Source organism: Homo sapiens, chromosome 5 (assembly GCF_000001405.40).
Source record: "Homo sapiens chromosome 5, GRCh38.p14 Primary Assembly".
In the NCBI taxonomy this organism is placed as follows: Eukaryota; Metazoa; Chordata; class Mammalia; order Primates; family Hominidae; genus Homo; species Homo sapiens.
The window spans coordinates 157,917,439-157,933,230 of record NC_000005.10 but is presented as its reverse complement, the minus strand read 5'-3'; the positions used below and the strand labels follow the sequence as shown (position 1 = coordinate 157,933,230).

At 46.0% G+C, this 15,792-nt stretch overlaps 1 pseudogene, besides 3 other annotated features; it reads left to right on the top strand.

Annotated features, from left to right (window-relative positions):
• RPLP2P2 (ribosomal protein lateral stalk subunit P2 pseudogene 2) lies at positions 1,611-2,052 on the top strand (annotated as a pseudogene).
• Positions 5,815-6,616: an enhancer, noted in NCBI's record as "OCT4-NANOG-H3K27ac-H3K4me1 hESC enhancer chr5:157353623-157354424 (GRCh37/hg19 assembly coordinates)". NCBI's record gives its function as "activates a minimal SCP1, AML or CMV promoter by ChIP-STARR-seq in primed H9 embryonic stem cells {active_cell/tissue: H9 hESC(primed)}" and the evidence as "EXISTENCE:reporter gene assay evidence [ECO:0000049][PMID:30033119]".
• Positions 13,422-13,564: a silencer, noted in NCBI's record as "fragment chr5:157346675-157346817 (GRCh37/hg19 assembly coordinates)". NCBI's record gives its function as "represses an EF-1alpha promoter that drives an FKBP-Casp9 reporter gene in an ReSE screen in phorbol 12-myristate 13-acetate-treated (for megakaryocytic differentiation) K562 erythroleukemia cells {active_cell/tissue: K562(+PMA)}" and the evidence as "EXISTENCE:reporter gene assay evidence [ECO:0000049][PMID:32094911]".
• Positions 15,077-15,186: a silencer, noted in NCBI's record as "silent region_16565". NCBI's record gives its function as "represses an Ori minimal core promoter by ATAC-STARR-seq in GM12878 lymphoblastoid cells {active_cell/tissue: GM12878}" and the evidence as "EXISTENCE:reporter gene assay evidence [ECO:0000049][PMID:35858748]".

Below are 15,792 nucleotides of genomic sequence, written 5' to 3'. Positions count from 1 at the left end.
GGATTAGCACATAAGACAAAACCTGTTTTGCCACCCTGGTTCTAGCCCAATATTTCATAGTTAGAGGAAGAAATGAAGGGCCAGGTTGAGACTGTGACTTAACACGGGATCATGCAGCAAGTTAGTTGTAAAGCCGCAGCTCAAAACCAGCCTCCTGCTGCCCACTCTAACGCTCCTTCCAGGGCATGACTATGTCCTGCCTCTTCCGCCACCCCCAGAGGTGGCCCCTCATAGAATATGTGGTAAGGTCCCTTACAAAGAGTAAATTATACATAGAAACATTTTAGTCACAATGTATATGTCAATAACATCCTAATAGGGTTAAAGCTGGATTAGGAAGGGCCTTGTTGGGCAATTGATGGGGGTACCAATCTGTAAGGGGCCCTGAAACACATGACAAACATGAGGAAGTGGAGAACTTGTCTCAGGGAAAGCTCTGTATGGAATTGAATAAAATATGGAATAAAGTTGTTGCAGAAGGAGTGAGGAAGAAGAGTTGCCTCAAGGAGCAGGCCCAGTACCAACACAGAGTCACTAAGCAGCTAGTCTGATGAACTTTTTCTTTGGTGAGTGGAACAATAATACATTATTGGGGGCCAGAAGCAGTGGCTCACACCTGTAATCCCAACACTTTGAGAGGCTGAGGTGGGAGGATCGCTTGAGGCCAGGAGTTTGAGACCAGCCTCAGAAACATCGTGAGACACCATCTCTACAAAAAATTTTAAAAATTAGCTGGAAATAGTGGCACATGCCAGTAGTCATAGCTACTTGGGAAGCTGAGGACTGCTTGATCCCAGGAGCTTGAGTTTACAGTAATCATAGCTCAAGCTGTGATCGCTCCAATGCACTCTAGCCTGGGTGACAGAATGAGACTCTGTCTCTTAAAAAATTAAATAAATAATTGGGAATAATAAAAGAGAAACTAAAGATTGACAAAAGCGAGCCTCCTCCTCCATCCTTCTCCATGCATGCACCACTTCTCCTCTAAACTAACATTGACAAGTATCTAAGGACTATCAATTTAGAGTATCACCACATTATTAACCTACTGAGCACCAAATTGCTAGTTCTCAGAGGCACATGGCATGTCTCCAGCCAGCTTTATTTACTCCCACCCTAAACTCTTCCATCTTGCCTCCTCTAAAAAGGCTTCCTGCCGGGCGCGGTGGCTCACACCTGTAATCCCAGCACTTTGGGAGGCCGAGGCAGGTGGATCACAAGGTCAGGGGTTCGAGACCAGTCTGGGCAACATGGTGAAACTCCATCTCTACTAAAAATACAAAAGTTAGCCGGGTGTGGTGGCAAGTGCCTGTAATCCCAGCTACTCGGGAGGCTGAGGCAGGAGAATCGCTTGAACCCGGGAAGGCAGAGGTTGCAGTGAGCCGAGTTTGCTCCATTGCACTCCAGCCAGGGCAACAGAGTGAAGCTCCATCTCAGAAAAAATAATAATAAAAATAAAATAAAGGCTTCTTGGGCCTGGCATGGTGGCTCACACCTGTAATCCCAGCACTTTGGGAGGCCAAGGTGGGAAGATCACCTGAGGTCAGGAGTTCGAGACCAGCCTAGCCAACACAGTGAAACCCCGTTTCTACTAAAAATACAAATATTGTTTTTCCTCCCTGACGCCGCCGAGGTCACACACGTGAGGCCTCTCCACCACCGCCCCAATGCGGTACATCGCCTCCTAATTGCTGGCTGCCCTCGGGGGTAACCCCTCCCCCAGCAACAAGGACATCAAGAAGATCCTGGACAGCGTGGGCATCGAGACGGACAATGACCGGCTCAACAAGGTTATTAGTGAGCTGAATGGAAAAAACATTGAAGACGTCATTGCCAAGAGTATTAGCAAGCTTGCCAATGTACCTGCTGGTGGGGCTGTGGCCGTCTCTGCTGCCCCAGGCTCTGCAGCCCCTGCAGCTGGTTCCACCCCCTGCTGCAGCAGAGGAGAAGAAAGATGAGAAAGAGGAGTCTGAAGAGTAAAACGATGACATGGGATTTGGCCTCTTTGGTTAAACTCCTGCTCCCCTCCAAATAAAGCCTTTTACACATCTCTCAAGTTAAAAAAAAAAAAATTAGCCCAGCATATAGTGGGCACCTGTAATCCCAGCTACTCAGGAGGCTGAGTGGGGAGAATTGTTTGAACCTGGGAGGTAGAGGTTGCAGTGAGCCGAGATCACGCCATTGCACTCCAGCCTGGGAGACGGAGGGAGACTCCGTCTCAAAAAAAAAAAGAAAAAAGGCTTCCTGGACAGCTGCCCTGCCCGTGCTACCTATTTCTTTTTTTGCTTATCATCTGCACCCTGACTAGGCCCTGGGACCATGCCAGCTGTTATTGGCAAGCGTCTCTCTATGGAAGTACAACCTGCTTCTTCTTCACAGGCATAAACTGTGCCTTTTCCTCTTTCATGTCATGCAGCACGTGGTTAACACAATCTTGTTCAAAAAGCATTTATTAAATGGCAAAAAGAATACTATGGTAACTTATGGGCTTGACTTTCAAAGGATCCATGGAGACCTTGGAAGCAAGCTTCAAGGCCTATCTCATTGGCTCCTCTACTATTCATGAAAGGATTCTGCTTAGAGAGGTGTTTTTTTGTTGTTGTTTTTTGTTTTTGTCACCCAAGCCAGAGTGCAGTGAGGCACTCTCAGCTCACTGCAACCTCTGCCTCCCAGGTTCAAGTGATTCTCATGCCTCAGCCTCCCAAGTAGCTGCGATTATAGGCATGCACCACCATGCCCAGCTAATTTTTGCATTTTTTTGTAGAGACGGGGTTTCACCAGTGTTGGCCAGGCTGGTCTCAAACTCTTGACCTCAAGCCATCTGCCTGCCTTGGCCACCCAAAGTGCTAGGATTACAGGCGTGAGCCACCATTCCCACCCAAGAGGCATCATTTTGAATTGCTGCTATGGTTTGAATGTGTCCCTCAAAGCTCATGTTTTGGAAACTAAATGCCTAGTGCAGCAGTGTTGACAGGTGGGAACTTAGAGGTAATTAGATCATGAGAGCCCCTCATTAATGAATTAATGCTGATATTGTGGGAGTGGTTTCCTGATAAAAGGATGAGTTTAGCCCCTTCCCCCCATGTCTCTCTCCCTATCATCTCCCTCCCTTCCTCCCCCTTCTTCCCCTCTCCCTCCCTCTCTTGCTCTTCTGCCACATGCCATGGAATGATGCCACAAGAAGAACCTCATTGCTATTAGACTTCCCAGCCTTCAGAACTGAGAGAATTTTTTTTGTTTTGTTTTTTTGTTTTGCCGAGACAGGGTCTCCTTCTGTCACCCAGGCTGGAATAATGCAGTGGGGCAATCATGGCTCACTGCAGCCTCAACCTCCTGGGCTCAACTGATCTGCCCGCCTCAGCCTCCTGAGCAGCTGGGAATACAGGCATGCACCACCATGTCCACCTAATTTTTGTATTTTTTTTTTTTTTTTTTTTTTGAGACGGAGTCTCGCTCTGTCGCCCAGGCTGGAGTGCAGTGGCGGGATCTCGGCTCACTGCAAGCTCCGCCTCCCGGGTTCACGCCATTCTCCTGCCTCAGCCTCCCAAGTAGCTGGGACTACAGGCGCCCGCCACTACGCCCGGCTAATTTTTTGTATTTTTTTGTAGAGAGGGTGTTTCGCCATGTTGCCCAGGTTGGTCTCAAACTCCTGGGCTCAAGTGATCCACCCCCCTCAGCCTCCCAAAGTGCTGGGACTACAGGTGTGAGCCACCCCATGGAGAAATTTCTTTATAAATTATCCAGTCAGTGGTATTCTGCTGTTGCAACACAAAATGCACTAAAACAATCGCCTTAGCTGTTCTTATTTTGCAACCGATTCCCATTTAATCATAGTATTATAGATATGTAACATGTACTTCTACCTCCCCTCATGCCTAAGGCTCATAGCAATTTGTAGTGAGGCCCACATGGAATTTATTTATCCTCTATCTTGAAGGCTGAAATAGGGGACAAAGGTAGGAAAGAAATAAAAGTGGGGCAGAAATAAGGGAAGGATGCGGTGAATGCTGATGTGAGTTCACTGATAAACGCTAAACTTTATTTAGAAGACTGGCTCTGGCCAGGCACAGTGGCTCATGCATGTAATTCCAGCACTTTGGGAGACCAAGGCAGGCAGATCACTTGAGGTCAGGAGTTCAAAACAAGCTTGGCCAAAATGGTGAAACCCCGTCTCTACGGGAAAAAAAAAAAAAATTATATATACACACACACACACACACAGAGATAGATATAGGTAGATAGATATAGATATAGAAATATAGAAGAGTGGCTCTTGGCCGGGAGCGGTGTCTCACGCCTGTAATCCCAGCACTTAGGGAGGCCGAGGCGGGTGGATCACGAGGTCAGGAGATCGAGACCATCCTGGCTAACACGGTGAAACCCCGTCTCTACAAAAATATAAAAAAGTAGCCGGGCGTGGCGGCGGATGCCTGTAGTCCCAGCTACTCAGGAGGCTGAGGCAGGAGAATGGCATGAATCCGGGAAGCGGAGCTTGCAGTGAGCCGAGATCACGCCACTGCACTCCAGCCTGGGCGACAGAGAGACTCCGTCTCAAAAAAAAAAAAAAAAAAAAAAAGAGGAGTGGCTCTTAACTGTGAGGAGATTTTGCACCCCCAAGTAGGTTGCCAAATTATAGGTGGTATACCCAGTTACATTCACACATACTAAAGATTATTCAGGCTGGGCGCAGTGGCTCATGCCTGTAATCCCAGCACTTCAGGAGGCGGAGGCAGACAGATAACTTGAGGCCGGGAGTCCGAGACTAGTCTGGCCAACCTGTTGAAACCCCATCTCCACTAAAAATACAAAAATTAGCCGGGCGTGGTGGTGCACATCTGTAATACCAGCTACTCGGGAGGCTGAGGCAGGAGAATCGCTTGAACCCAGGAGGCGGAGGTTGCAGTGAGCGGAGATCACGTCACTGCACTCCAGCCTGGGAGATAGAGTGAGGATCTGTCTCAAAATTTAAAAAAAAAAAAATTATTCATTATTTCTCTAAAATTCAAATTTAAGTAGGCGTCTTGAATTTTTTTTTTGTTGTTGTTGTTGCTGTTGTTGTTGAGACGGAATCTCGCTCCGTCGCCCAGGCTGGAGTGCAGTGGCACGATTTCGGCTCACTGCAAGCTCCGCCTCTCGGGTTCACGCCATTCTCCTGCCTCAGCCTCCAGAGTAGCTGGGACTACAGGCGCCCGCCACTAGGCCCGGCTAATTTTTTGTATTTTTAGTAGAGACGGGGTTTCACCTTGTTAGCCAGGATTGTCTCCAACTCCTGACTTCGTGATCCGCCTGCCTCGGCCTCCCAAAGTGCTGGGATTACAGGTGTAAGCCGCCGTGCCCGGCCCGGCATCTTGAATTTTTATTTGCTAAATCTGGTAACCCTAACCCAGGGAACATGTGTCAATTTCTGAAGACATTATTTATTGTCACAACTTGGGAGTGCTACTGGCATCTAGTAGGTAGAGGCCAAGAATGCCGCTAAACATTCTCCAATGCACAGGGCAGGCCCCTCACAGCAAAGAATTATCTGGTCCAAAATGCTAACAGTGCCAGCATTTGACTTAGCCTGACTTGTAGCCTGACTTAGAAGGATGACTTTATCACTACAAAGAACTTATTATCACTAAAATATCACAGTAGGAAAATAGTACGCGTGTATATATGTAGGCACATATATTCTCCCACCCCGCCCCCAAAAACATGTTTCATAAGTTTCTGTCTTTTAAATCTACAAGCTATTATGAATTGGAGTTTTATAACAGTAACTTCCACAACCCCGGGGAGATATAACAAAATTCAGATCACGTTTTGGGGGGAAAGAAACTCAGAAATATTAAGTGATTTTCCAGGATCCCACAGAGCCCTAAGGAAAATAGAATTAAAACTCACAACTGCTAAACACATTGCTCATTCCAATAAAGCCGGCCTGTCTGCACCTCAACTGCTCAGCTCTCACCACGCTTGGAATAGGGTGGCTGCAAAAGGTTTTAGTTTTCAAGAGGAGATCAAAAGTTTTCACAACTGATTAGCATCCAGAAAGCACGGCCTCCTTTAACCTTGAGATGCAAATAGCCCAAGATTGTCAAGGGATCTGAGAGCTGGAGGATTTGATGGAAGATCAAATTCCTGACATTTCCAGGGCAATTAGTTTCACATGCAAAGTCACAGGAAAGTGCTGCCCATTCTCCACAAGCAGTAAAGCTGTAACAAGACTCAGCTTTACAAATTTGGACTAATTGGCCCGTACCCACCCAGCAGAGTTCATTATCATCATCCCCATTTCATAGAACAGAGAAGGTGGGTAGAAATCTGTTTATTCCACTACTAGGCACAGGCAACTTTAATATTTCCTATTTCAGAGCCCTATACATAAACTCCAGATACAGAAGGTTGGGATAACTCTGCTAATTATTCAGACCAGCAGGAAGGAAAGGTCTGGAATTAAGTCAAATCTCTTTGCCGGCACCCCTTAAAATTTCACTTGAAGGTGAGTCTTGGCTTCAAAAGGGTTTAAAACGGCTCAGCACTTTTATCTGATGGTTAAGGAAACCAGGGAGGAAGTTGCTGTCAATTCCAGCCAGGACTTTGGAGTCTGAGCTAAATTGATTTTGAAAGATTTGATCGCTGAACCACTTTTCTTGCACTGGCAGCCCAGGCTGGAGCCACGGCTGACTTCTCCGGACGTGCCATGGAGGTCAAATTCCAGCCAGGTGGCCAAGTGCATTTGGTAACTCAAATGTAGCCTGTTGTCACAATGGATTTTCCACTTGCAAGTATACAGTTGTATGTGTCTTTTGTCATTGCCCCAGCTCTCTGAAGGACACCACGTCAGCATCCTCTGGAGCCATTCAATGGCTTGGGACTCTTCCATCCGTCGGGAGGCTCTGCTTGACTGACAAGGTGTGTGACAACCCCGGACTCTCCAGGGCTTTTGTCAGAGGCCTTCGAACCAGAATGACTCCATCTTGAATAAGGGCTGGGTAAAATAAGGCTAAGACCTACTGGGCCACCTTCCCAGGAGGTTAGGCATTCTAAGTCACAGGATAAGATAGGAGGTCAGCACAAGATACAGGTTACAAAGACCTTGCTGATAAAACAGCACATGGGAAAGAATCCGACCAAAACCCACCAAAACCAAGATGGCAACGAAAGTGACCTCTGGTCGTCCTCACTGCTCGTTATACACTAATTATAATGCATTAGCATGCTAAAGGACACTCCCACCAGCACCACGACAGTTTACAGATGCCATGGCAACATCAAGAAGTTACCCTATGTGGTCTAAAAAGGGGAGGAACCCTCAGTTCCAAGAATTGCCCACCCTTTTCCAGGAAAATTCATGAATAATCCACCCCTTGTTTGGCATATAATCAAGAAATAACCATAAAAATGGGCAAACAGCAGCCCTTGGGGCTGCTCTGCCTATGGAGTAGCCATTCTTTTATTCCTTTACTTTCTTTCTTTTTTTTGAGATGGAGTCTCACTCTGTTGCCCAGGCTGGAGTGCAGTGTTGCAATCTCAGCTCACTGCAACCTCTGGCTCCTGGATTCAAGCGATTCTTCTGCCTCAGCCTCCTGAGTAGCTGGGACTACAGGCGTGCACCAACTCACCCAACTAATTTTTGTGTTTTTTAAGTAGAGACAGGGTTTCACCACATTGGTCAGGCTGGTCTCGAACTCCTGACCTCGTGATTCACCCGCCTTGGCCTCCCAAAGGGCTGGGATTACAGGCATGAGTCACGACACCCAGCCCTTACTTTCTTAATAAACTTGCTTTCACTTTACTCTATGAACTTGCCCCAAATTCTTTCTTGTGCCAAGTCCAAGAACCCTCTCTTGGGGTCTGAATCTGGACCCCTTTCCAATAACTTTCACCTTGATATTCCTCATTCTCTGGCACTGAGGAGGCTTCATATTATGTGAACTGGTAGCCTGCTTTGTCAAAGTGGCCCAAGGATACTGGTTGCAAAGCCTTGCCCTGAGAGAATGTTGCCAGCTCAAGATGCTGGTGAAATTCTTGCTGGCAGGACCAGCTCCTGACAGAACAGCTCTGCACTGGCTTCCCCACCCTTTTGGCCTTTCTCTAACCTTTCCTGAAAAAGGTGGGGCTGATAACAGGTAGTCCAAGCCCTACAAAGCTCTCTGCCCCCCTTAAGTCTCTGGAGTTCTTATAACAATAAGGTGTGGTGGTTGAGAACAAGGCTCTAGTCTCTGCCACTTTACTAGCTTTGTATCCTCTCAAAGTTATTTTTTAACCCCAGTTTCCTCATCTATGAACGTGGGATCGTGATATTTAGTGCAGAGTTGCAAGAAGCAATAAATGAGCCACTGGGACATGGTAAGGGCTCAATAAATATGATACTTTAATAGCAGTAGTGGTGTGGGTTTCTCTTCTCAAAGTCGTGGGTGAATTCAAGCCCTCAGGCCTACTCTATGACACCCACAAAAAATAAATACAAAAGAACAAAAAGAAAAGGAAACAATGAAAAAACAAACTTCAAATTGCCTTATTCTCTTATTTGCCCTTGGTTGCATTCTAAAACCTCTATCTCCACCCAGTTTCAGTGTCCTTTTGCTGCCCTGTTTTAACCAGAAATCTATACCATCCCATTGACCTTGGCTCAGAATGCCCTCCCACATGCACCCTGGCACACAACATTTAAATCCTGCCTCCCATTACATCAAACTCCCACTGTCTCTGTGGCTTTGGTCAGCAGACACACTGGACCGGCCCTGGGTACTGGCACATCACACTGCTACCTTCAAAGGATGATTTGAGGAGGGCAAGAAGAACATGTACTTCCAAGGATCTCCCCCACTGGTCTGCTGCAGAGCCTTTCTTTTTTCCTCACTGGCCTAAAATGCCCAGTGTGAAACCTCCAGTTCAAGCGACATTGTCCCCCATAAGCTACTATAGAGATGTTCATTTATCACATGGGCAGCAAAGAAAGCCACTTCACTTACTAGGGAACCAGTAAGCCATCAATTCCCCAAAATTGGTGAGACCGGTGCATTGAAAAGGGAGCCAGGTGAAGGAACTGGGCTTTGGGATGGGGAAGTTTTGATGGGACCACAGGGAGAAAACATTTTACTTCATGAAAATCAAGCAGCTCTCCAACCATAACTAGTGGGGAAGAATGAGGGCTCAACAGCTAGGAGCTTAGAAAGTAAGATGTCCAAGGTTGTAGGGCAGAGCCAGGGAAGGTCAACTTCTCCCACTTTCCCTTCGCGTTGCCCAGGCCCTGCCTTCCAGAACCAGAAGGCAGCAGCTGTCTGGCTGGATATGCATATTCATGGTTGCTGCAGACAGAGAGGCGTGAATATTTTAAACCTATGTTTTCTGTTTCTGTCATGAGCTTGAAATCTTTTGCAGCCAAATTGTAGAAGGCAGGAAGTTTGAAGGGAAAAATCATTAGCTTCTTGGGCTTAAAGAGCCATAAACTTTTTTCATCTGCAGGGACTGTGGGGTAATCGATATCTAGGGAAAGGGGTAGGGAATACTACATGTGAGGTTTTTGTCATGCCCCTGTGGTGGGTCACCTTATATGGAAAAAGAACCAAGGGTAGGAAGAACAATAGTAAATGCAGATAGAACAGAACAACACAAGCTTTTAAAATTTTTCCAGTTCAGGTATGTGTGTGTGTGTGTGTATATATATGTGTGCGTATATATATATGCATGTGTGTGTATAGATATATATATGTGTGTGTGTGTGTATATATGTGTGTGTGTATATATATGTGTGTGTGTATATATGTGTGCATATATATATATGCGTGTGTGTATAGATATATATGTGTGTGTGTGTGTGTGTGTATATATATTGAGATGGAGTCTTGCTCTTGTTGCCCAGGCTAGAGTGTAGTGGCATGATCTCGGCTCAATGCAACCTCCACCTCCCAGGTTCAAGCGATTCTGCTGCCTCAGCCTCCTGAGTAGCTGGGATTACAGACATCCGCCACCACGCCTAGCTAATGTTTGTACTTTTAGTGGAGATGGGGTTTCGCCATGTTGGCCAGGCTGGTCTCAAACTCCTGACCTCAGGTGATCAGCCCACCTCGGCCTCCCAAAGTGCTGGGACTACAGGCATGAGCCACCGCACCCGGCCTAAAGTTTCTCCAGTTCTTAAGTCATTACTTTATGTTAGCTGAAGCCTTGAATTATCAAACATAATTTTTATTGACTTCCACGAATGCCATTAACATTTGGCTTATTCCTCCCCAATGCTTCCACACCTAAAAATAAAAAGAAAATAAGACAGGCAGATATATTAGGATAACAACCCTCCTTGACTCCCAAAATCTCAGTGGCTTGAGAGATAAAAGTACCTCTGAAGGAAATTAAAATATTTTACCCCATCTGGACATGATGGCTCCTGCCTGTAATCCCAGCACTTTGGGAGGCTGAGGTAGGAGGATCACTTGAGCCCGGAGTTCAAGACCAGACTGGGCAACATAATGAGACCCCCGTCTCTATGAAAATATGTATATATAAGAAAAAATATTTTATGCCTAATTATATTTCTTTTTTTTCTTTTGAGATGAAGTCTCGCTCTTGTCCCCCAGGCTGGAGTGCAATGGTGCGATTTCGGCTCACTGCAACTTCTGCCTCCTGGATTCAAGCGATTCTCCTGCCTCGGCTCCCCGGAATAGCTGGGATTACAGGCACCTGCCACCACGCCCAGCTAATTTTTGTATTTTTAGTAGAAACGGGGTTTCACCATGTTGGCCAGGCTCGTCTAGAATTCCTGACCTGCAGTGATCCACCTGCCTCGGCCTCCCAAAGTGCTGGGATTACAGGCGTGAGCCACCGCGCCCAGCCGCCCAATTATATTTCTATGACATATTTTGAAATGGCTGTGGCTTGGCCATCCTGACAGAAGTGGCCTTGAAAAGCTGTCTTAAGTGGGGACATTTTCAATCTGTATGGAGTCTACAAGAATGCAGCCTGTCCTCCCCTTCCTATCCCTTTCGCCAGACACAGAAGAGATTGAGAGTCTGACATCTTTAAAAGTCTAAAAAGAAATCTTTCACATCTATTCTCTCTGAGGGAGGCTTCATTTACATAACAAGGCCACCTTTGCTAGCCAAGCCTCTACTCCCCCTCCTATAAACTTTTTTATCAGAACCTAAGCCCTTATTATTTCTGTAATCTCAAAATGGTATATATATTTCTGTAAATCATTGCAAACTTGGGTCTTCATTCTGAAGGCTCCTGTGTATACACATTACATACATTTGTATGCCTCTTCTCCTATTAACCAATCCACCTCATATCAGTGATTTTTACCAAACCTTTAGAGGGCCAAGAACCTATGGCTCCCACACTTCTCATTTCATCGAAGTCCAAGTGGGATGCCATCACTCAGGTGCTTGTATCCTTCCAGCGGATTCTCTATATGGAACCAGCCAATAAGGGAGAAAGAAGGAGCATAAAGAAGGCTCTCCTGTACTTGACCAGATGTGACTCAACATTGAAACCACCTGCATAAAAATTATACCAGTGAGAGAATTATCGCATTGGTGGGGGGCTGTCATTTAGCCAAGCCCCCTCTTGCCTTTAGCCTTCAAGCTGCCCTTAATTATTCCTGGACTTAAGCCAAGCTGACTTTGGGAGACATTTCATTTATAGTTTAAATGATAATCACCCTTCCCCAAAACTCAACTGCCTTTATAAACCTAATGAGAGACTACCAGGCTAGGAGGATAGAGGAGCTTGAATTCTGCTGAGGTGTAAATTGTTGCTGCTGTTATTCCAGAAGTGAAAAGATATGTGACTTCCCCAATTACTCCTGCAAATAACATCACTATCGTAGAATGTAAGATTGACTTTTTGAGATGTCTTTTCCGGGCCGGGTGCAGTGGCTTACTCCTGTAATCCCAGCACTTTGGGAGGCCGAGGCAGGCGGATCACGAGGTCTAGAGTTTGAGACTCAGCCTGGCCAACATGGTGGATCCCCCTCTCTACTAAAACTACAAAAATTAGCTGGGTGTGGTGGCATACTTCTGTAATCCCAGCCACTCGGGAGGCTGAGACAGGAGGCAGAGGTTGCAGTGAGCTGAGACCACACCATTGCACTCCAACCTGGGTGTCAGACTCCATCTCAAAACAAGGAAAAAAAAAACTAAACAAATGTATTTTCCAGTTTTTTACAAGTCTGACATCGATGGCTCCATCTGGACCTGCCAACCACTCCTGTGGCCCCACCCAGAAGCAACTCAGCACACAGGAGGACAATTTTCCACACCCCAATGATTGAATCCCCAACCAATCAGCAGCAAGCCCCAGTTGTCTATCCACCTCCACCCCTTTCCCCAAACCATCTTTGAAAAACCTCTAACCTGGCAGAGAGTGGTGCCTCACACCTGTAATCCCAGCATTTTGGGAGGCCGAGGCGGGTGGATCACCTGAGGTAAGGAGTTGAAGACCAGCCTGGCCAACATGCTGAAACCCCGTCTCTACTAAAAATACAAAAATTAGCCGGGCATGATGTCCAGTGCTTGTAATACCAGCTAGTCGGGTGGCTGAGGCGGGAGAATCACTTGAACCTGGGAGGCGGAGTTTGCAGTGAGACGAGATTGCGCCACTGCACTCCAGCCTGGGCAACTGAGCAAAACTCCGTCTCAAAAAAAAAAAAAAAGAAAAAAGAAAAGGAAAACCCCTAACTTCCAAACATTGGAGGAGATTGATTAGAATAATAATAAAACCTTGGTCTCCTGTTCAGCCAGCTCTGCATGAATTAAACTCTTTGTCCATTGCAATTTCCCTGCTTTGATAAATCAGCTCCATCTGGGCAGCAGGCAAGAAGAACCCATTGAGCTGTTACATCATCATTGCAGCTTACATTACATTGTGGGTAGCTACTCTGTGGTCCAAACTTAATGCAAAGGGGCTGGAAAAACATAATCCAGCTGTGTGCTGAAAGTGGATTGGTGAAAAGAAAATGGATTGGCAAGCACCTGGTCTCTCCCACAGCAAATGACATTAACTTTGGCAGCTAGTCAGTTTCACATTTGGTTTTTCTCTTCATTGGCACAATATATAATGCAGACATGGCTGGATTGAGCAAGATTGATGTTCGCAGGAGCCAGATAAATCATCTTCCTCTAGATTGGCAGATATTTGGCAGTTTGCTGTCACTTCTTATTTCCTGACCGTAGCAGTTACAGCTAATTAATCGTGACACTCCTTCCCTATAACTGCAGTCACAGTCACATAATCCTTCTCAGTATGGAGCTGTGGACAGTCAGAACCAATGGATCAAAGTCAGCATACAATACAAACCTACTGGCATCTCGATTCTCTTTATCCCTTACATTTTATAGGTGAGGAAACTGAAACCTAAGGAAGTAGAATAATTTGATCATTGACAAAGTTATAGTGAGTTCCTATAAGGGAGGAGACCACCCCTCATATCATCTTATGCCCAATTTCTGCCTCCAAAGAAAGAAGAAGTAAAAACTAAAAGGCAGAAATGAAATCCACAGGCAGACAGCCCGGTGCCGCACCCTGGGCCTGGTAGTTAAAGATCGACCCCTGATCTAATCAGTTATGTTATCTATAGATTACAGACATTGTATAGAAATGCACTGTGAAAATCCCTATCCTGTTTTGTTCTGATCTAATTACCGGTGCATGCAGCCCGCAGTCACGTACCCACTGCTTGCTCAATCAATCATGACCCTCTCACACGCACCCCCTTAGAGTTGTGAGCCTTTAAAAGGGACAGGAATTGCTCACTTGGGGGGCTCAGCTCTTGAGACAGGAGTCTTGCCGATGCCCCCGGCTGAATAAACCCCTTCCTTCTTTAACTCGGTGTCTGAGGAGTTTTGTCTGCGGCTTGTCCTGCTACACCTACTATACACTAGACACTCTGCTACGCTCAGGCAATGTTACTTTAAACAAGACACACCCTTTCCTTCAGGAAGTTAAGGGAGAAAAGGAAGTCAGGTTGTTAGAGTAGGCAGTCAGGCAGATATGAGCAGGGCAGGAGAGCGCCCAGCCCATCAACCACCACCATCAGATGATGGTGAGGCAGTTGTTAAACTGTTTCTCTAACGTAGTAATTAGCTGCAGCTGGTGGCAGGGAAAAGCAGTCTCGCAATACATAGAAAACACCTGAAGCTGGTGATCAGCCACTTCCCCTGATAAGATCTCAGGAGTTGGGCGAGTGGGCTCAAATATGTGCACTAAGAGGCAAAAGGGTGGAGTTTAACTGGTATATGACCTTCCTCTGGGAACACTCAACTAGTTAGGAAGAATGCCTCAAGTGAGGCAGTGCACAACTTCAGTAAACACGCTGAGCATGTGGCCCCTCCCAAGTGCTGGCAGGCCACTGTGTATGCAGACAGCCTACCCCCGGGGAAGAATCAGAGAAGAGACACGAGAACCCAGAAGCATGCCAGTATATAAAACCCCAAGTCAAAAGTCAAACCATGGACTTGAATCTCTTAAGTCGCTCGCTTGGCCCTCTTCCACATGTACTTCACTTTCTTTTGTTCCTGCTCTAAAATTTTTTAATAAGCTTTCACTCCTGCTCTAAAACTTCCCTCGGTTTCTCCCTCTGCCTTGTGCCCTTCGGTCAAATTTTATCTTCTGAGGTATGGATTTGCTGCTGCTGACAAGATGAGTGGACAGGAAATTACAATACAGCATAACAAGTGGAAAGAAGAGACGAAGGCAAGATGCTATGAGAGAACATTGAAAACACCTTTGTGAAAATTGTAACGGTGAGAATATTATGACAGTCACAGAGATCTGACCTAACTGACTCCATCTTGCCTCTAATCTCCAAGCTATCCTTGTTCATTCCTGGGCATAGGCCAAACTAACTTTGGGAGGAACTTAGTTCATAGTGTAACTCTGAAACAAAGATAACACCCCTTTTCTGAAACAAACCCCCTTCTTGCCTGGGGACCAGACTGCCTTTGTAGGACTAACAAATTAGCCACAAGATTAGAAATTATGGTTTAGGAATTATGCAGCCACAGGCCACAACATTCCAAACCTCCCTAATTGCTCCCAGGGATAACAGCACTATTGTAAAACCTAAGATCAGTGCTCTAGGTACTTTTCAGACCCTGCATTTTGATGCAGCAGAGGGCGCCACCCAGACCAGTAAACCGACTCATCTGGTCTTGTGGCCTCTACTCAAAAACTGACTCAGCACAAGAGGACAGCCTTGACTTCCTATGATTTTTGTCTCCCACCCAACCAATCAGCACTCCCCACTCCCTGGCTCCCTACCCACAAAATTATCCTTTAAAATCCTCAGTCTCTGAATTGTCAGGGAGACTGATTTGAGTAATAATAAAACTCTGGTCTCCCATTCAACCGGCTCTGTGTGAATTAAAGTCTTTCTATATTGCAATTCCTGTCTTGATAAATTGTCTGTATCTGGCCAGTGGCAAATTAACCTGTTGGGTGGCTGCATGACAGTGGTAAATAAAAAGAATTATTTTGATCCTGATAAGGAACACTTTATTCAAAAGACTACTGTAATGGGGTTTTGTAGTAGGGGAGGGAGATTGGGCACAACTCCAAATACAACAACAACAACAAAAAAATGGGGATTTTGGCCAAGAAGCAGGGCAGAGGCATGAATGGATGGGAAATCACTAGGAGGGTAGGATAATTCTTGCTAAATTAGCCTAACAGGATTCTTGCTAAAGGCAGGCCAGGGTGATCAGATATCAAGGGTGAGGATTCTCTGTAAACTTACTGTCTTAGTTGATTTTGTGTTGCTATAACAGAATACCACAGACTGGGTAAGTTATAAAGAAAAGAAATAGCTGG